Source organism: Homo sapiens, chromosome 19 (genome assembly GCF_000001405.40).
Source record: "Homo sapiens chromosome 19, GRCh38.p14 Primary Assembly".
NCBI lineage: Eukaryota > Metazoa > Chordata > Mammalia > Primates > Hominidae > Homo > Homo sapiens.
Window position 1 is genome coordinate 28,258,470 of NC_000019.10, and position 22,970 is coordinate 28,281,439.

At 37.5% G+C, this 22,970-nt stretch overlaps 1 annotated feature.

Moving 5' to 3' along the window:
- Positions 11,563-12,063: an enhancer, noted in NCBI's record as "H3K4me1 hESC enhancer chr19:28760939-28761439 (GRCh37/hg19 assembly coordinates)". NCBI's record gives its function as "activates a minimal SCP1, AML or CMV promoter by ChIP-STARR-seq in naive H9 embryonic stem cells {active_cell/tissue: H9 hESC(naive)}" and the evidence as "EXISTENCE:reporter gene assay evidence [ECO:0000049][PMID:30033119]".

The following is a 22,970-nucleotide window of genomic DNA, read 5'->3' on the forward strand; positions in this document are numbered from 1 at the left end:
CCACTGCTCCCAGCTGAAGTCAGCTCTTACTATTGGTATTAAATTCTGAAAACAAGTCTGTTTGGAACAGGCTCACTGATATCCAATAGCTGCTGTTACTGATGAAGGATCTGAGGCTTGGAGAGACTGGTGTCTCAGCCAGGGCATTTCAGGAGAAGGCAGGCAGGCAGGAAAGAACCCAGGCTCTGCTCCCTCACTCCTCCACTCCTCTTGGTCAAAATAACTCTGAAGTTAGGGTTAAATAGTAGGGATGAAGGCTCGTGTTTCACTCTGTACTTTTCAAAGCAGTTTCTCTCCCATTACCTCACTTGGTCAGCAGAACAGCCTGTGCAATGGGAGAGCAGGGTAGCTTCGATCATCTCCATTTCTCAGACAAAGAAATTGAGGTATGACAGTGAGTGGCTGGCCCTGGTCACAAGCTCCTGGAGCAGGGGTGTGGCTGGACTCCACAGCCCTCTGTTCCTGGTCAGAAGTGTTCTTCTTTCCATCCTGCTGTCTCTTGGGATGCTCGCCAATGTTTTGGTGCCTTCAGCAGTGAACAGCAAAATGCTTACCGTTCCCAGACATTTCAAAGTAAACTTGTCCATCTGACAGGAGAATAAGAATCAAAGCCTCCTTGGAGGAAATCCAGATGGCAAGCTTCTTACCTCCACCTTTCAGCTCTCCACTTAATTCTGTGGATGGTGCTGCCAATAAGCCAGGCTTCATTTAACTGTCAAAAGGACAATGTTTCAGCAGCGTTCCTGGGAATAGGTGGGAGGGAGGAGAGGGCTCTGGGCCGTGGGTGGGAGCAAAAAGAATGCAGGACCCCACATCCGTGCTCACTGTTCATCTGCATCTCAACCCGTTTCATTCCCTGGTATTTTCTCTTCCTGTATTCATTCCTGCCATGATGCATGCATACATTCTAACAGGCATAAATGTAACAACCCAGTCAACTGTGTATATAGATTCCCCGTGAGGGTACAGGCAGCTCGGCTTAGTTTGTGATCATTTTTATTTCATTGAAAGCCTCAGAGTGTCATCAGGTACTGTTAATTTAACTGCTCTATGGAATAGACCCAGTTTATTGGAGATAATGGGGAGAGACAGTCTCAGAAAATTCAACACTGCAGAGGGCCCTTTCCTCTGGAGTAATGATCGGACACAGTGTCAGGACGTGGCCTCCTATAATGCACCGCAATCGCAATGTAATGATGCCTTATGAACTTTAAAGTTATTTCCTTCCGTGGAGCCTGCCCTTGGTGCTTTCTGAAGGTGCTTGATCATGAGAGAGAAGAGTGATTCACTACCGGCTTTTGTAAAACTTGTGAGATGGCTGAGCCAGAGCCCTCTGGCCACAGAGCTAGAAAGGCCAGGCCCAAGGTGGGGCTACACAGAGGCCACCAACTCAAGTCCCAGGTCATACAGGTTGCTGTCAGACCCCAATCTGCCACTGATGTTGGTCAAGTGTCATAACTGTGCTGAGACAATTCACTTGCAAATAGGGACAAATCAAAGTAACTACCTCCTTGAGTTGTGGGAGGATTGAGTAAGAAAGTGCTTATGGCACATAAGAAGTATTCAGTAAGTATTGAGCATTACATTATCAATATTTACTCTCTATTTTTTTAAATAATTTCAACTTCTATTTTAGATTTAGGGCTTACATATGCAGATTTATTACAAACTATGCATCCAACAATGGTCTAATATCCAGGCTCTATCAGGAACTTAACTCCACAAGCAAAAACCAAATAACCCCAATAAAAAGTAGGCAAAGGACATGAACAGATATTTCTCAAAAAGAAGACATGCAAGTGGCCAAGAAACATTTAAAAATGCTCAACATCACTAATCATCAGATAAATGCAAATCAAAACCACAATGAGATACCATCTCATACCAATCAGAGGTCTATTATTAAAAAGTCATACAATAACAGAAGCCAGCAAGGCTGTGGAGCAAAAGGATTGCTTATGCATTGTTGGTAAAAATGTAAATTATTTCAGTCCCTGCGAAAAACAATTTGGAGATTTCTCGAAGAATATAAAACAGAAATACCATTTGACCCAGCAATCTCATTACTAGGTATATGCCAAAGGACAATAAATCATTTTACTTTCTATGTTTTAGACTGCAAATGTCAGCATACTTGACTGGTTAAAAAGAAAAGACAGTTAATTCACATGCCATATTCTTCCTCCATGGTGAAACCATGGCTAATGCATTTCACCTTACAAGTTTTTATGGAAAGAGACATACATCTGAACATTTGTACAATATTTTTTTTCACTTAACCAGACAGCGCAATGAAATATTTGAGAATGTTTCATGCTAACTGTTCATAAATCAGATCCGCACACTTTTTTTGTGATTTTACTTCACTGTTTTTGCCTTGTCTGTGCAATGCACATCACACTCGGGGCCATTGTTCCCCTGCCTCTTTTGCAGGTTTACATGTGGCCTGGAACATCTTCCATGGGTTCCTCAAGAGCTCTCCCTCCTCTCCTCCCTGCTTTGATGTGCTGTAGGCTCCCAGCCTTCTGCTTCTCCAGCCAAAGAACACCGCTAAGAAGGAAACTGTGGCCCTGTAGGAGCCCTTGACTCCTTCACCGAGGCTGATGCATCCCTCATTAGGGGCCCTGCTCCTATTCAAGGAGATCTTCCCTACATCTTTCTTCTTCCAAGTTTCTATCCACTGCTGTCCCCTTCTCCCTTAGGCTCTGAGGGTGATAGGCACATAGCCATAGCAAGACTCAACAAAAAGAACAAATCTGGTAGCATCACATTACCCTACGTCAAACTATACTACAAGGTTATAGTCACCAAAACAGCATGGTACCGGCAGAAAGCAAAAAAAAATGCCCTTGAAATTTTTATTTTTTCTGTGGTTTTGTTTTATTATATAAGCATGAGCAAAATTATAATCAACTTATGTAATTTAGAAATGTTCAAGGGGTCTTTTAGTTCTATCATTTTATGAATTATTATTTAATATCTTGGTCTCACTATTTTAAAAAAATGCCATATGTATACAGTTTTAAAAACCTATATAATTGGCCAGGCAAGGTGGCTCATGCCTGTAATCCCAGCACTTTGAGCGGCCAAGGCAGGTGGATCACCTGAGGTCAGGAGTTCAAGACCAGCTCGGTCAACATGGCAAAACCCCGTCTCTATTAAAAACAAAAAATTGGCCAGGCATGGTGGCAGGCACCTGTAATCCCAGCTACTCAGGAGGCTGAGGCAGGGAGAATTGCTTGAACCTATGAGGTGGAGGTTGCAGTGAGTCAAGATCACGCCATTGCACTCCAGCCTGGGCGACAGAGCGAGACTCCATCTCAAAAAAAAAAAAAAATCTATATAATGAATCATCATAAAAGAAATGAAAAATACAGCTGAACAAGAAGAAAATTAAATCACTCACAATCATGCCACGTATGTATGATGTCTTTGAAATCAAACTGTCTATACTCACAAACTCATATTTCCTTTTCATTTATTTTAAAAAATTGTAAAAAACATTTTGTGGGTACATTTAGGTGCATATACTTATGGAGCACAAGAAATGTTTTGACACAGACATGCAAAGCAAAATAATTACATCATGGAGAATGGGGTATCTATCCCCTCAATCATTTGTTTTTGTGTGTGTGTTACAAGGAATCCAATTATAGTCTGTTATTTTTAAATGTACAATTAGATTATCACTGACTATAGTCACCCTGTTGTACTATTAAATAATAGATCTCACTCCTATAATTTTCATCCCTACTTCTCCTCCAAAATTGTTGTTCTCAAGCTTGCCACTGATTTTCACTCTAATAAAGGTAGACACAATTACTTAGATCTCATTTTATTTAACCTGTCAGCAATGTGTGACCCAGCTGAAAACCCTCTCCTCCATAATACTTTCTTCACTTGGCTCTCAGGGTCTCCTGGTTTTTCCTCCTGCTATCCCATCCATGTACCATCATCTATTTTGCTTGCTTCTTCTTGTCCCCAACCTGTCACACATTGAAGTGTTGCAGGACCCAGGCCAGGATCTTTCTCATGACTTTCAGCACCTTGTACATGCTAATGACTTCCCAACGTGTATTTCCAGTCCAGGTTTCTTTCTTGAGTTCCAGACATCTATATCAAACTGCCTACTTGATACCTCTTTTTACTTAGCTGCTGGGTATTGCAATGTTATCAGGTCCAAAATTGGGCTGCTGATGTTTTTTGTTTTGTTTTTGTTTGTGTGTTTGTTTGTTTTGTTTTTGTTGTTTCTGTTTGTTTTTGTTTTTGTTTTTTGTTTGTTTTGTGTTTGTTTTGTGTTTGTTTTTGTTTGTTTTTTGTTTGGTTGGTTGTTTTTTGTTTGTTTTGTTTGTGTGTTCGTTTTTTTGTGTGTTTTTTGTTTTGTTTGTTTTTTGTTTGTTTGTTTTTGAGACGGAGTCTCACCCTGTCACCCAGGCTGGAGTGCAGTGGCGCGATCTTGGCTCACTGCAAGCTCCGCTTCCCGGTTCACGCCATTCTTCTGTCTCAGCCTCCAGAGTAGCTGGGACTACAGATTCCCACCACCACGCCCGACTAATTTTTGTATTTTTAAGTAGAGACAGGGTTTCACCATGTTAGCCAGGATGGTCTTAGTCTCCTGACCTCGTGATCTGCCTGCCTCAGCCTCCCAAAGTCCTGGGATTACAGGCGTGAGCTATCGCACCTGGCCAATGTTTTTTTTTATACCTACTGCTCATGTAGTCTTCTTGCATTCATGGTAACTCTCCCAGCAGCTCTGCCTAAAGCCTTCAGGTCATCCTTGACTTCTTTCTCTCTGACACCTCACACCTAATTCATCAGCCAATAGGGTTAGGTCTACCTTCAAAATACAACCAGAAGCCAGTCAGATCTTCCAGGTCCCAGCCACCACCATCTGTTGCCTAGATGAGTGATGAGTGACTAGACTGCTAATTGGTCTTGTTTATTTTTAATCCTCTTCCCATTTATTCTTAAAAGAGGGTCCTATTAAAACATGCCAGATTGTGTCATTCCTCTGCTCAAAACCTTTTTATTATTATTATACTTTAAGTTCTAAGGTACAGGTGCACAGCGTGCAGGTTTGTTACATAGGTGTACATGTGCCATGTTGGTTTGCTGCACCCATCAACTCATCATTTACATTAGGTATTTCTCCTAATGCTATTCCTCCCCCAGTGACCCACCCCCTGACAGGCCCCGGTGTGTGATGTTCCCTGTCCTGTGTCCATGTGTTCTTGTTGTTCAACTCCATCGATTCCCATTTCAAATTTCTTTCTAATACCCAAAAGGCAGCACATGCTCTAACCTGTTTTCTCTTTGACTTAAACGTCTACTGTTCCGTTCCTTTTGCTCTAATCCAGCCACACTGAGCTTCTTGGAAACTTTAAAGCATGCTCAGCATGTTTCCCTTTGTACCTGGCAGCTCACTCTGTACGGAGGGCTTTTCCCGCAGATCTGCTCTCAGCTCGCTGCCTCCATTTCTTCAGTTCTTCGATGGAAAGTCACTTTCTCAGCAAGGCCATATCTGGCCATTCTAATATTTCCACCATCTCTCTCCTCCAACACACATTTCATTTTCCTGCTTTAATTTTTCTCCTTTAACATATACATTTTGTTTATGCTGTTTATTGTTATTGTATGTTCACTTCATTCTCATGATCAGGATTTTGTCTGTTCATTACCATATCCTTAGTGCAACTCAATACATATTTATTAAATAAGTGAATAGAGTTTACCGTGGTATATTATTTTAAACATAAATTCTCACTTAAGGAACAGTATGACATGGGCTAATTCTGACAATTTTACTTGGCATTATGCACATTTGTGGGATTATTTTAGTTATTTTTAATACTCTATTTTCTCTATATTTATATTCTTCCATTTAGGAAGGAAAGTCCAATATTGCGGTTAATATTTTTTCTTTTACTGGTTGTTATGATAGTTTTAATTATGGTAAAATGAGTCGAAGGAGTTGCAAACTTCATTTGTATTTTATTAGAAATAATAAAATATAAGGGTGATGAATGCAATAAATGTAAAATTTGTTTTCAAAAGATTATGAGCCTTCAATATCTGATATAAAAAGACACAGTTTGAATTTCTTGCTTTTCATAGTAAGAAAGCTATTCTTGTCAGGCACAGTCTCTTCTGGTTAAGCAGCTGCTGATGTTATACAGATTTGGGGGAAGAGTGGAATTAAAAGCTTGGCCAGCTCTCACAGGCGTCAGTGGGTTGATGCCACCTGCCTGGTGCAGCGTAATTATCTGAGGGAGACTGCTATGGAATGGTTGGCATTCCCAGGCATGCTGATTAAGGTGAGTTTGTCTCTGACTGGCTATCTTTCAGATGCAAGCAGCTGACATTGATTGGTTAGGGAAAGAGTCTAGTGGTCACTGATTATGTGTCTGGATTTAAAACGACTTCTGTGTGGCTGCTTGTTATTGGGGCTACAGATCAGACTTTCCTTAAGTTTGAGGCAACTTTCATCAGATGTTTTCTGTTTCAAAGTTGCCTTCCATCAACTAGGTTCAAAACAAAAATTTTTTATATTCCAGAAATGTAGATGTATTTTTGAAGTTTGGATTAAAGAGGAATTATTTAATAACCGCTCTCAAAAAGATTCCCCCCTCACCTTCTTTAAGACACTTATTCTCAATTGAGAGAGTTATCTATATAGTTATTTTTCGATAAATAATTATTAGTTTTACATGTGTGTGCGTGTGTGTGTGTGTGTGTGTGTGTGTGTGTGTGTGTTTTAGGGGCTGAGGCTGAACTCCTAACATCATAATCTCCAGTAGAAAGTTTTAGTCTCCTTGCAAATTAATGTAGGTTATATAATAGTGATACAATTATGCATGTGTTTATTTTATAAAAATATAATTACAATTTTTTTCCAAAAATCTACATTTTTATATTAGGATCAGATACAGGGCTAAAACTGTACAAAGGCTTCAAAATTACTTTATTTTCAAATAATCATAAGTAATCAGAATAGTGCTATTTTTGAACTACACATAATGACATATAAATATTTTTAAAGTTCTCCCCACACTGTATATTTCATTTTTTCCTTTCAGGTTATATGTTTTAGCTTATTTTTAAGAACTTGATTTAAATAAAACATTATTATATTTTAAAACAAAACAAAAAACATAACAAAAATCCAATTAGGACTCTCACGCCTGTGAGTCCTTGCTTGTGGGCAGTGAGCTCCAGCCTTTGAGCGTGGTATTCAAGTTTAGGGTAGCATTCGTCTTGCAGTATTTGCTTTCATGTGTTTTACAGTTTTTTGAGTTCCTAGGAAACTCCTAGATGCCTCGTGCCTAACCTTTGTGCTCACATTCTATTCTCTATGTAGAATGGTTTTCTCACGCTTTTTTTTTTGGCATCCTAACTCTTACGTATCACATTGTATCATAATTGTATATTTACCTGTTTTTAAAGCAGATAATATTCATTTTCTTGTATATCGTTGGAACTACATATATATATATATATATATATATATATATATATATATATATATATATATAGTTCATAACAGGTTTTAGAATAGTAAGTTAATTGAAATTGGGAACATTTTGAATTTTACAAAAAAAAGTTTTTAAAATTCTTTGTCATAGAGTTATTTTTAAAAGATTGCCTTTTTAATGGATTTTTTTTTAAGAATACTGATACTTCTTTGCATGTGAATGAGGTAGAGAAACATGAAAATAAAAACTGTACCTCAAAACACCCTGGGATTAAACAAATGTTTGAGAAGGCCAACTTACTCACTGGTGGTCTGCTACAAGTGAATGATGACAGCAGTTTAAGTAAAATAATTGAAGATGAAGGAAGGTAAAACTTGCAAGCTTATTTCCCTGTGAAAGAATGTTAGCAATAGTTACTTTCTCTGGAAATAGAATAGTTTAGTCAGCCAAGGCTGGAGGATCCTCAACTGTATCAAAGCTGCTGAAAGATTAAAAATTCTAATGTAATTGAACATGAAAATGATGACCTACATGTTAAACTATCATACATAGATTATTAAAACTTATAATAAACATACAAACACTTATGTATGTCAATAAATGTGATACATTACATCAACAGAATTTTTAAAAATATATATATATATAACCATCTCAATAGATGCAGAAAAAGCATTTGACAAAATCTGGCATTCTTTATGATAAAATTGTCTTATTTCATTTAAGTTTCCTTCATGTCTTTTAATGGCTTGAGAGCTCATTTATTTTTAGCACTAATATTCCATTGTATGGCTGTAGCACATGTTATTCCTTCACCTACTGGAAGATTAGCTTCGTTGCTTCACAAATTGATTGAATTTTTATATCTATGCTTATGAGAATTTTTTTGTTTAAAATATCTTTGTCTGCTTTTGGTTCGTGGTGATGCTAGCATTATAGAAGTTTGAATATACTCCTTTTTATTTTGAAGGGCAAAGTTTGTGTAGAATTTTATTATTTTTTCCTACAATGTTTGGAAGGATTCACCAGCCTAGCTGATTGGGCCTGAAATTTTATCTGTAAAAAGGTTTTCAACTGTTATTTTATTTTATTTTATGGATATGGGGGAATGTAGGTTATCTATTCTTGATTTATGTTTGGTAATTTAACCTTTTTCAAGGAATTTTTCAATTTTACCTAACTTGTCATGTTTATTCACATAAATTTAACAATATTACCTTTTTTATAGTATCTGTAGAATCTGTAATAATGTCACATTACTCAATTCTAAGTTACTAATTTGTATCTTCTTTTTTTCCTGAGTAACCTAGTTAGACAAAGGTTTATTGCTTTTATTGATCTCCTCAAAGTGTGTAGTGTTGACTTCCTCTACTGTTTTTCTTCTCTATTAATTTCATCTTTGATGATTTGGTCCTTTAGGCTCATTATTTTAAAAAAATCATAGCCTGAGTAGCTTATTAACAAAATGAATTGATTTCTTATGGTTCTGGAAGTTGCAAAGTCCAAGATCAAGGTGCTGTTAGATTTGATGTCTGATGAGGGACTAGTTCATGGTTCATAGATGCATTATTTTTTCCTGTGTCCTCAAAAGGCAAAAGGGGTGAAGGGGCTTTCTGGGGTCTCACATGTAAGGGCATTAATTTATTCATAAGAACTTGGCCTCCATTACCTAATCACTTCCAAAAAGCCCCACCTCTAATAACATCAGCTCTGTGATTTGGTTTTAGTATATAAATTTTGAAAGGATCCAACATTCAGATCACCAGAGATATTTATTTATTTTTGTCTGCATGCTTTAAGTTTAGTTTTATCTCCTTTTTACTGGTTTCTTAAAGTAGAAGTGAAAGTTATTTGTTTGAGACTCTTCTAATATAGACATTCAGTGCTATATTTGTATTTAAGTATAGTTGTAGCTGTATTCCACAAGTTTTGATATATTATGTTTTCATTTTTACTTAGTGCAAAATATTTTCTAATTTATTTTCCCTTACCTCTTTGACTCAGGATGGGTATTTGGGTATGTATTACTTAGTTTCCAAATATTTGAGTATTTCCTAGAGCTATTTTTGTTACTGATTTCTGATTTGATTGATATGCTTGTCAGGGCACATACTTTGTATGACTTATCCTTTTGACTTAATCCTTTTTTTGAGAGTAATTGTATGGCCTAGAGTATGATCTATCTTGGTAAGTGTTCCACAGGTACTTGAAAAGCACAGTGTTGCTCAAGACTATTCTATTCTTGTTGATTTTCTGTCTCCTTGTTCAGTCACTTATTGACTACAGGGTATTAAAACCTCAGGTTACTTTAAAATTGTCTGTCTGTAGTTCTAGATATTTATGTCTCATATATTTTGAAGCTGTTATGTTAATAGGGGCATAAACATTTTGGATTATGTCTTCTTGATTGATTGAATGCTTTGTCATTGTGACATGATCTTGTTTATTGATGGGAATATTTTTTGCTATGAAATGTGCTTTGGTATTAAGGCAGCCACACCTGCTCAGCCTTCTTCTAAGTGTTAGCATTCTCTTTTTTCAACCTTTTATCCAATTTGTGTCTTCAAATTTAAAGCGCATTTCTTATTGGCAGCATCTGGTTGGGTCCTGTTTTGTTTTGTTTTTTTTTAATGGAGTCTGACAGTCTATATTTTAACTGAGGTTCTTAGACCAGTGTCATGTGTGATGTAATTATTGACATACTTAGGCTTACCTGTCATCATGCTGTTTGATTACTATTAGCCCCAGCTGTTCTTTATTCCCTTTTTCTTTTCTGCTCTCTTAAAGATTAGTCAAGTAACTTTTCTTAATGATTTAGTTTTACATTTCTGTTATGGCATATTAGGTATAACTCTTTTTTATTTTTATTTTTGCTTTCTTAGTATTTGTTTTAGAATTTACATAATTTTAACTTATCGAAGTCCACCTTCAAGTAATATTATACAACATCATACATGGTATAGGAAAAGTATAATAGTATAGTTTCATTTCTTTTCTCCTAGCATATGTACATGTGCTCAGCAATTTTTTTAGATTTCAGTGTAAAGATCTTTCAAATAATTTGTTCAATTTATCCCTAAGTATTTTATATTTTTAATTCTATTGTAAATAGTATTATATTTAAAAATTTATTCCTAATTATTTCTAACATGTGAAAATACCATTGATTTGTGCATATTTATCTTATATCCTACAACATTGCAAAACTAACTTACTATCTTCAGTAGTAGGCTTTTAAAGGATTTAATTGGGATTTCTACATAAATGATTATATCTGTGATTAAAGACATTTTTACTTACTTCTTTTCTATTTAGATGCCTTTTATTTCCCCCCTTTCTTGTTTTCCTTCCTTCTTTCTCTTCTCTTTTCTTTTTTTTAAGTTTTTTTGCAATAGGTAGACCTTCCAGGACAATGTTGAATAGAAGTGGTAAGACCTGATATCCCTGTCTTCTTGATTGTAAGAGAAAGCATTCAGTCTTTCATCATTATATAGGATGTTAGTTGTAGGTATTTTAAAGATGCCCTTTGAAATGTTGAGAAAAATCTTATGTATCCTTTATTTGATGAGATTATTTTTTAATAAGAATGGATATTAAATTTTGTCAAATGCTCTTTCTGCATATACTACACATAAGTGTATGCTTTTCCTTTCATTTTATTAATATAGTAATAACATTAATTGATTTTGAAAGAGGGTTAAATATTCAACTTATTAAAATAAGTGTTTAAATGCATTTTTTATTTCCTTAAAAATGTTTAAATTTGGGGGAGGAGCCGAGATGTCCGAATAGGAAAAGCTCCGGTCTACAGCACCCAGCATGAGCGATGCAGAAGATGGGTGATTTCTGCATTTCCATCTGAGGTACCGGGTTCATCTCACTAGGGAGTGCCAGACAGTGGGCGCGGGTCAGTGGGTGAGCACACCGTGTGTGAGCCGAAGCAGGGCGAGGCATTGCCTCACTCGGGAAGCTCAAGGGGTCAGGGAGTTCCCTTTCCTAGTCAAAGAAAGGGGTGACAGAGGGCACCTGGAAAATCGGGTCACTCCCACCCGAATACTGCGCTTTTCCGACGAGCTTAAAAGAGGGCGCACCCGGAGATTATATCCCGCACCTGGCTCGGAGGGACCTACGCCCACAGAGTCTCGCTGATTGCTAGCACAGCAGTCTGAGATCAAACTGCAAGGTGGCAGCGAGGCTGGGGGAGGGGCGCCCACCATTGCCCAGGCTTGCTTAGGTAAACAAAGCAGCCAGGAAGCTCGAACTGGGTGGAGCCCACCACAGCTCAAGGAGGCCTTCCTGCCTCTGTAGGCTCCACCTCTGGGGGCAGGGCACAGACAAACAAAAAGACAGCAGTAACCTCTGCAGACTTAAATGTCCCTGTCTGACAGCTTTGGAGAGAGCAGTGGTTCTCCTAGCATGCAGCTGGAGATCTGAGAATGGGCAGACTGCCTCCTCAAGTGGCTCCCTGACCCCTGACCCCTGAGCAGCCTAACTGGGAGGCACCCCCCAGCAGGGGCAGACTGACACCTCACATGGCTGGGTACGCCAACAGACCTGCAACTGAGACTCCTGTCTGTTAGAAGGAAAACTAACAAACAGAAAGGACATCCACACCAAAAACCCATCTGTACATCACCATCATCAAAGACCAAAAGTAGATAAAACCACAAAGATGGGGAAAAAACAGAGCAGAAAAACTGGAAACTCTAAAAAGCAGAGCACTTCTCCCCCTCCAAAGGAACACAGTTCCTCACCAGCAACGGAACAAAGCTGGACGGAGAATGACTTTAACGAGCTGAGAGAAGAAGGCTTCAGATGATCAAATTACTCTGAGCTATGGGAGGAAATTCAAACCAAAGGCAAAGAAGTTGAAAACTTTGACAAAAATTTAGAAGAATGTACAACTAGAATAACCAATACAGAGAAGTGCTTAAAGGAGCTGATGGAGCTGAAAACCAAGGCTCGAGAACTACATGAAGAATGCGGAAGCCTCAGGAGCCGATGCGATTAACTGGAAGTAAGGGTATCAGGGATGGAAGATGAAGTGAATGAAATGAAGCGAGAAGGGAAGTTTAGAGAAAAAAGAATAAAAAGAAACGAGCAAAGCCTCCAAGAAATATGGGACTATGTGAAAAGACCAAATCTACGTCTGATTGGTGTACCTGAAAGTGACGGGGAGAATGGAACCAAGCTGGAAAACACTCTGCAGGATATTATCCAGGAGAACTTCCCCAATCTGGCAAGGCAGGCCAACATTCAGATTCAGGAAATACAGAGAATGCCACAAAGATACTCCTGGAGAAGAGCAACTCCAAGACACATAATTGTCAGATTCACCAAAGTTGAAATGAAGGAAAAAATGTTAAGGGCAGCCAGAGAGAAAGGTCGGGTTACCCACAAAGGGAAGCCCATCAGACTAACAGTGGATCTCTCGGCAGAAACTCTACAAGCCAGAAGAGAGTGGGGGCCAATATTCAACATTCTTAAAGAAAAGAATTTTCAACCCAGAATTTCATATCCAGCCAAACTAAGCTTCATAAGTGAAGGAGAAATAAAATACTTTATAGACAAGCAAATGCTGAGAGATTTTGTCACCACCAGGCCTGCCCTAAAAGAGCTCCTGAAGGAAGCGCTAAACATGGAAAAGAACAACCGGTATCAGCCACTGCAAAATCATGCCAAAATGTAAAGACCATAGAGACTAGGAAGAAACTGCATCAACTAACGAGCAAAATAGCCAGCTAACATCATAATGACAGGATCAAATTCACACATAACAATATTAACTTTAAATGTAAATGGACTAAATGCTCCAATTAAAAGACACAGACTGGCAAATTGGATAAAGAGTCAAGATCCATCAGTGTGCTGTATTCAGGAAACCCATCACACATGCAGAGACACACATAGGCTCAAAATAAAAGGATGGAGGAAGATCTACCAAGCAAATGGAAAACAAAAAAAGGCAGGGGTTGCAATCCTAGTCTCTGATAAAACAGACTTTAAACCAACAAAGATCAAAAGAGACAAAGAAGGCCATTACATAATGGTAAAGGGATCAATTTAACAAGAAGAGCTAACTCTCCTAAATATATACGCAGCCAATACAGGAGCACCTGGATTCATAAAGCAAGTCCTGAGTGACCTACAAAGAGACTTAGACTCCCACGCATTAATAATGGGAGATTTTAACACCCCACTGTCAACATTAGAAAGATCAATGAGACAGAAAGTCAACAAGGATACCCAGGAATTGAACTCAGCTCTGCACCAAGTGGACCTAATAGACATCTACAGAAACCTCCACCCCAAATCAACAGATTATACATTTTTTTCAGCATCACACCACACCTATTCCAAAATTGACCACATACTTGGAAGTAAAGCTCTCCTCAGCAAATGTAAAAGAACAGAAATTATAACAAACTATCTCTCAGGCCACAGTGCAATCAAACTAGAACTCAGGATTAAGAATCTCACTCAAAACCACTCAACTACATGGAAACTGAACAACCTGCTCCTGAATGACTACTGGGTACATAATGAAATGAAGGCAGAAATAAAGATGTTCTTTGAAACCAACGAGAACAAAGATACAAACCAGAATTTCTGGGTTGCATTCAAGCAGTGTGTAGAGGGAAATTTATAGCACTAAATGCCCACAAGAGAAAGCAGGAAAGATCCAAAATTGACACCCTAACATCACAATTTAAATAACTAGAAAAGCAAGAGCAAACACATTCAAAAGCTAGCAGAAGGCAAGAAATAACTAAAATCAGAGTTGAACTGAAGGAAATAGAGACACAAAAAACCCTACAAAAAATTAATGAATCCAGGAGCTGGTTTTTTGAAAGGATCAACAAAATTGATAGACCACTAGCAAGACTAATAAAGAAAAAAAGAGAGAAGAATCAAATAGATGCAATAAGAAATGATAAAGGGGATATCACCACCAATCCCACAGAAATGCAAACTACCATCAGAGAATACTACAAACACCTCTACGCAAATAAACTAGAAAATCTAGAAGAAATGGATAAATTCCTCGACACATACACTCTCCTAAGACTAAACTAGGAAGAAGTTGAATCTCTGAATAGACCAATAACAGGAGCTGAAATTGTGGCAATAATCAATAGCTTACCAACCAAAAAGAGTCCAGGACCAGGTGGATTCACAGCCGAATTCTACCAGAGGTACAAGGAGGAACTGGTACCATTCCTTCTGAAACTATTCCAATCAATAGAAAAAGAGGGAATCCTCCCTAACTCATTTTATGAGGCCAGCATCATCCTGATACCAAAGCCGGGCAGAGACACAACCAAAAATAGAATTTTAGACCAATATCCTTGATGAACATTGATGCAAAAATCCTCAATAAAATACTGGCAAACTGAATCCAGCAGCACATCAAAAAGCTTATCCACCATGATCAAGTGGGCTTCATCCCTGGGATGCAAGGCTGGTTCAATATACACAAATCAATAAATGTAATCCAGCATATAAACAGAACCAAAGACGAAAACCACATGATTATCTCAATAGATGCAGAAAAGGCCTTTGACAAAATTCAACAACCCTTCATGCTAAAAACTCTCAATAAATTAGGTATTGATGGGACGTATCTCAAAATAAGAGCTATCTATGACAAACCCACAGTCAATATCATACTGAATGGGCAAAAACTGGAAGCATTCCCTTTGAAAATTGGCACGAGACAGGGATGCCCTCTCTCACCACTCCTATTCAACATAGTGTTGGAAGTTCTGGCCAGGGCAATTAGGCAGGAGAAGGAAATAAAGTGTATTAAATTAGGAAAAGAGGAAGTCAAATTGCCCTGTTTGCAGACGACATGATTGTATATCTAGAAAACCCCATTGTCTCAGCCCAAAATCTCCTTAAGCTGATAAGCAACTTCAGCAAAGCCTCAGGATACAAAATCAATGTACAAAAATCACAAGCATGCTTATACACCAACAATAAACAAACAGAGAACCAAATCATGAGTGAACTCCCATTCACAATTGCTTCAAAGAGAATAAAATACCTAGGAATCCAACTTACAAGGGACATGAAGGACCTCTTCAAGGACAGCTACAAACCACTGCTCAAGGAAATAAAAGAGGATACAAACAAATGGAAGAACATTCCATGCTCATGGGTAGGAAGAATCATTATCGTGAAAATGGCCATACTGCCCAAGGTAATTTACAGATTCAATGCCATCCCCATCAAGCTACCAATGACTTTCTTCACAGAATTGGAAAAAACTACTTTAAAGTTCATATGGAACCAAAAAAGAGCCCGCATCGCCAAGTCAATCCTAAGCCAAAAGAACAAAGCTGGAGGCATCAGGCTACCTGACTTGAAACTATACTACAAGGCTACAGTAACCAAAACAGCAGGGTACTGGTACCAAAACAGAGACATAGATCAATGGAACAGAACAGAGCCCTCAGAAATAACGCCACATATCTACAACTCCCTGATCTTTGACAAACCTGAGAAAAACACGCAATGGGGAAAGGATTCCCTATTTAATAAATGGTGCTAGGAAAACTGGCTAGCCATATGTAGAAAGCTGAAACTGGATCCCTTCCTTACACCTTATACAAAAATTAATTCAAGATGGATTAAAGACTTAAACATTAGACCTAAAACCATAAAAACCCTGGAGAAAACCTAGGCCTTACCATTCAGGACATAGGCATGGGCAAGGACTTCATGTCTAAAACACCAAAAGCAATGGCAACCAAAGCCAAAATTGACAAATGGGATCTAATTAAACTGAAGAGCTTCTGCACAGCAAAAGAAACTACCATCAGAGTGAATGGGCAACCTACAAAATGGGAGAAAATTTTCACAACCTACTCATCTGACAAAGGGCTAATATCCAGAATCTACAATAAACTCCAACAAATTTACAAGAAAAAAACAAACAACCCCATCAAAAAGTGGGTGAAGGACATGAACAGACACTTCTCAAAAGAAGACATTTATGCAGCCAAAAAACACATGAAAAAATGCTCACCATCACTGGCCATCAGAGAAATGCAAATCAAAACCACAATGAGATACCGTCTCACACCAGTTAGAATGGCAATCATTAAAAAGTCAGGAAAGAAGAGGTGCTGGAGAGGATGTGGAGAAATAGGAACACTTTTACACTGTTGGTGGGACTGTAAACTAGTTCAACCATTGTGGAAGTCAGTCAGTGTGGCGATTCCTCAGGGATCTAGAACTAGAAATACCATTTGACCCAGCCATCCCATTACTGGGTAGATACCCAAAGGACTATAAATCATGCTGCTATAAAGACACATGCACACGTATGTTTATTGAGGCACTATTCACAATAGCAAAGACTTGGAACCAACCCAAATGTCCAACAATGATAGACTGAATTAAGAAAATGTGGCACATATACACCATGGAATACTATGCAGCCATAAGAAATGATGAGTTCATGTCTTTTGTAGAGACATGGATGAAATTGGAGATCATCATTCTCAGTAAACTATCACAAGAACAAAAAACCAAACACCGCATATTCTCACTCATAGGTGGGAATTGAACAATGAGAACACATAGACACAGGAAGGGGAACTTCACACTCTGGGGACTGTTGTGGAGTAGGGGAGGGGGGAGGGATAGCACTGGGAGATATACCTAATGCTAGATGACGAGTTAGTGGGTGCAGTGCACCAGCATGGCACATGTATACATATGTAACTAACCTGCACACTGTGCACATGTACCCTAAAACTTAAAGTATAATAATAATAAATTTTTAAAAAATGTTTAAATTTGAGTTTAACTTTAAATCTTATATTCTGTTAAAAATTTTCCAAGTTTTATCAATTCTTTTTAACATTCTAAAATATATATGACATAAACTTTAACATTTTAACAATTTTTAAGTGCACAGTTTAGTTTCATCAAGTGCATTTACAATGTAATGCAACAGTTACTACTATCCATTTCTAGAACGCTTTTATTATCCCAAACAGAAACTCTGTACCCATTAGATATTAACTTCCTGTAAGTTCTACCCCAGCCCATGGAACCCTCTATTCTAATCTCTTTCTCTGTAACTTTACCTATTCCAGGTACCTCATTTAAGTGGAATCATACAACATTTTTTTGTCTGTGTGTCTATTTCACTTAGTATAATGTTTTCAAAGTTCATTTATATTGTTTCAAGTATCATTACATTATTTCTTTTTATTCCCAGGTAATATTCTACCTCATAAATATCATATTTAATGTATCAGATAATAGACATGTGGATTGTTTCTAGGTTTTAACTATTATGAATAATGCTGCTACGAATGTGCACATAGGCATATGTCTCTCTTGAGAAAATACTGGGGAGTGGAATTTCTGGGTCACATGATAACTGCATTTAATCTTGAGGGACTGGGGACCATCAAGTTGTTTCCCAAATCAGCTGCACAATTTTACATTATCACCAGCAATGTAGGAGGGCTCCCATTTTTTCAGATACTTTCCAGTCTTTATTTTTAATCTTTTTGACTGTATGTATCCTAGTGATGTGAAGTGCTATCTCATTGTAGCTTTGACTTGCCTTTCTCTAATGATGAATGATGTTGAGCATCTTTTCATGTGGTTAATGGCCATTTGTCAATCTTATTTTATAAAATATGTAGTCAGATCCTTTGAGCATATTTTAATTGATTGGGTTTTTGTTGTTGAATTGTAAGAATGCTTTATATATTCTGAACAAAATGTATATTACTGTTTTCTCATAAACTTTGTTCTAACTCTTAATGTCCTTTGTTTCTGTATTTTGAACTTTTGTTTCATAAACCACTTTTTTCTCAAGAATTTGCCAATAGCACCACAATATTTCTTTATGTCCATCTTTTTTTATAATTTACTTCCTCACCCAAAAGGAAAAAATCTATATGCATTTTTATTATTCGCCCAAAATTCCCACCCCACTCACATCCACTGTATTGCTATAACCTACATTCTCTCCTGGAACAAGATATGGGGAAGATTAAACTTTATCTTGCTGAGGTAACCTCCTTTATATTATGCATGCATTGCTTTCATGAAGTTTTCCACAGTTGGGAAAACCAGGCACGTTGCTGCTTTGCTCAGGAGCGCAGGCTTACATGCCTTGAAAGGATGTAGTAAACCAACAGATGGTCTAAGTTACTAACAACTATCATCTCATTAATTGTCAGGGTTACTTATAAATAAAGAAATAATTTAGAACTTAAATGTCAAAATATTCTACTACAAAGATGGCAAATATTTGATGAAACCTGCAATGTTTGTTCCAGATGGCCAAACTATAATCTAGTCCCTGCCTTTCTCATTCAATTTTTTATTTTTGATTTTTTTTACATCTTTATTTGACAAATACATATTTCCTTGTTATACTATGCTTCCAGGTGACACTCTGATATATATCTCAAATGACCATACACAGAATTGTGAAAGTAGTTGAGGACACTCATATCACAAATGAGGAAAGTCAGATCACCTCAGCAGTTGGCTCTGGAAATAGGAGGAAAGAGAACTATCATCTTCCTTTCATACTGAGATTCACCAATTATTCAATGTACACAATAGAAACCACAAATCAACATTAGTTATTTAATACAAAAACACTCAGTATAAAGCCATTGTGAGGGAAATCATCTTTTCGAAAGTCAATTATTCTAGGGGGAATCTTCAGCAAGAACTACATAAATCAAAAGAAGTTGACGCTGAGAGAAACTCGCTTTGCCCCTCATCACATTACTATCTACTCGTTGACAAGAACTTTAATCTTCTCACAAGTATTAAGTAAAAACAGTGCTAACTCTTCTTCATGAACTGGTTTATTCCCAGAGCTAAGACAAGGTGTAACTTATTTGGTGTAAGGGAAACCTCACATCCATTGGTCCATGTTTTTGTCAGTAAGGTTAATAGGTCATCAATGAGTATATCTAGTCTCCTTTTCTCCTCTGGACTCTGCAGAGAAGTGTAGGGCAGGTGAAGACCCTTCCTGCATTGGCTGGGTAAATGTTCTGTAGATGAACATTTCTTTTGTTCAGGTTCCAAAATCAAGACAAAGAGAAAACATAAGAAAATCTTTTTTGTCAAGGCAAAAAGCCCTATTTTCTAAATGAGCTTTTAACAGGAATAACATCTTTGAATATTGATCTGACCTCTTGGTTTTATTTCTAAATTGGTTTAGAACTAAAAGGGGAGAGGTGTGTTATCAATTTATACATGAAAAGCCCCAACATCCAAGAATCCATCTTAATGTGATCTAGATATCTGAGAAGCAGACATAAAATGTATAGCCCTGTTTAATGGTGATTGATACATTTCCAACTGTGTTGCTGTCCATAAGCAAAGTCTATGTGCATGTGGCTGGTTCATACATTTCTGTCATAGACACCAAGGATGCCAGACAGGACCAGGCAGAAGATACAACAGGCAATGGTTTTCTTTTCTTTTTCTTTCTTTTTTTTTTTTTTTTGTTCACTTAAAAATGTCCTTAATGGAGCATTAAAAATAATAATTTTATTACTTGAAAGACCAACTGACAAACTATGGTTATTCATACTTGGGTATATGTCATAGGTTTTTTCAAAAAATCAATGAAAAGAGCCTGTCCCTCCAAGTAAAACAACTCACGGCATTCTCTGCCGATGATTAAACTCACGCTTTCGAGCAAAAAATAAAATCTTGGAAAATTTGTATCTGCCTTCACGAGCTTAATATACTAATACTTACAGATTTTTCTGGTGAGACTGATTACTCGTGATACTAAGTAATGTGATTTTTTTTAATTTTTATTTTATTTTAAGTTCTGGGATATATGTGCTGAATACGCAAGTTTGTTATATAGGTATAAATGTGCTGTGGTGGTTTCCTGCACCTATCAACCGTCATCTAGGTTTTAAGCCCCGCATGCATTAGGTATTTGTCCTAATGCTCTCCCTCCCCTTGCCCCTCACCCCCCGACAGGCCCCGGTGTGTGAGATCCCCCTCCCTGTGTTTATGTGTTCTCATTGTTCAACTCTTTCTTATGAGTGAGAACATGTGGCGTTTGGTTTTCTGTTCCTGTGTTAGTTTGCTAAGGATCATGGTTTCCAGCTTCATCCATGTCCCTGCAAAGGACACGAACTCATTCACTTTTATGGCTGCATAGTATTCCATGGTGTATATGTGCCACATTTTCTTTCTCCAGTCTATCATTGATGGGGATTTGGGTTAATTCCAAGTCTTTGCTATTGTAAATAGTGCTACAATAAACATACATGTTCACGTGTCTTTATAGTAGAACGATTGATAATCCTTTGGGTATATAGCCAGTAATGGGATTGCTGGGTCAAATGGTATTTCTGGTTCTAGATCCTTGAGGAATTGCCACACTGTCTTCCATAATGGTTGAACTAATTTACACTCCCACCAACAGTGTAAAAGCATTCCTATTCCACCACATCCTTACCAGCATCTGTTGTTTCCAGACTTTTAATGCTCGGCATTCTAACTAGCATGAGATGATATCTCATTGTGATTTTGACTTGCATTTCTCTAATGACGAGTGATGATGAGCTTTTTTTCATATGTTTGTTGGCCGCATAAAATGTCTTCTTTCGGGAAGTGTCTCTTCATATTCTTCACCCATTTTTCGATGAGGTTGTTTTATTCTTGTAAATTTGTTTAAGTTCCTTGTAGATTCTGGATATTAGACTTTTGTCAGATGGGTAGCTTGCAAAAATTTTCTCCCGTTCTCTAGGTTGCCTGTTCACTCTGAGGATATTTTCTTTTCCTTTTTTTTTTTTTTTTTTTTTTTTTTGAGATGAGTTGCGCTCTGTCGCCCAGGCTGGAGTGCAGTGGCGCGATCTCGGCTCACTGCAAGCTCTGTCTCCCGGGTTCACGCCATTCTCCTGCCTCAGCCTCCCGAGTAGCTGGGACTACAGGCGCCAACCACCATGCCCGGCTAATTTTTGTCTATTTTTTAGTAGAGACGGGGTTTCACGGTGTTAGCCAGGATGGTCTTGATCTCCTCACCTCGTGATTCGCCCACCTCAGCCTCCCAAAGTGCTGGGATTACAGGTGTGAGCCACTGAGCATAGCTCAGCAGAAGCTCTTTAGTTTAATTAGATCCCATTTGTCAATTTTGGCTTTTGTTGCAATTGCTTTTATTCATTAAGTGTTTACCTATGCCTATGCCTATGTCCTGAATGTTATTGACAACAGAAAATGATTTTCACATTCTGCAGGCAAGAAGGTGGACCTACGTCTTGGCTGGGCTGCTACTTGTAATTGTGAAGTGCCAGAAAGCAATTACCAGCTTGAGTAATGACCAGAAATCCAAAGCATGGAGACTAACAACAAATGTGTCCATTTTCGCTTTTGTTGACTATGCTATCAAGGTCATATCAAAAACAGTATTGCTCAGAGCAATGTCATGGAGCTTTAGCCCTATGCTATGCTTTCTTCTATCAGTTTTACAGTTCGACTATTATATTCATCTTTATTTGGAGTTGGTATTTTTATGTGGTGTAAGGGTCAAATTTTACTTTTCATATGGATATCCAGTTATCCCAACAACACTTATTTAAGAGACTGTCTTTTTTCCATACTGTGTAGCTTTGCAAAAATAAGTTGGCTGTAAATGTGGAGATTTATGTCCAGGTTTTCCGTCCAGTGCAATTGACCAATGTGTCTTTTTATATGCTGTACTACGCTGTTTTGATTACAATTCTTTTAAAATTTGTATTGAAATCAATATTTCCAGCTTTGCTACTTTTGCTGAAGATTCATTTGGTTATTTGGGGTCTTTTGTGGTTCCATACAAATTTAAGCATTATTTTTTCAGTTCTGTAAAAAAAAATGGCATTGGACTTTTGATAGTGATTGCATTAAATCTCTTAATGGTATTATGTACATTTTCACAATATTAATTCTTCCAATTCACAAACATGCAATGCCTTTTTATTTACTTCTGTTTTTGAAATTCCTTTCGTTGGTGTTTTATAGTTTTTAGTATAAAGGCCTTTTACCATTTAGATTACATTTACACCTAAATATTTAAATTTTTATAATATTCTACATTAGATTTTTAAATATTTCTTCAGATTACTTTATTGGTATATAGAAACATTACCAACATAGAAACACTACTGATTTTTGTAAGTTGATTTTGTACCCTGCAACTTCACTGAATGTGTGCATCTGTTCCCACGGTTTTTTGTGAAGAAGCATTTAGGTTTTTTTCATATGTAAGAGCATGTCATCAGCAATTAGAGATAAATTCACTTATATATTTTCATAAGTTTCAGATGTTTTTTATTTCTTGTTTTGCCCGATTATTCTGGCTAGGAATTCCACTACCATGTTTAAAATAAGTGATGAGAGTGAGTATCGTTGTTTTGATCTTGATTTTAGGCAAAAAGCTTTCAACTTTTCAGTGTACATAATACTGTTTACTGAGGGCTTGTCATATACGGCCTTTCTGTGGTG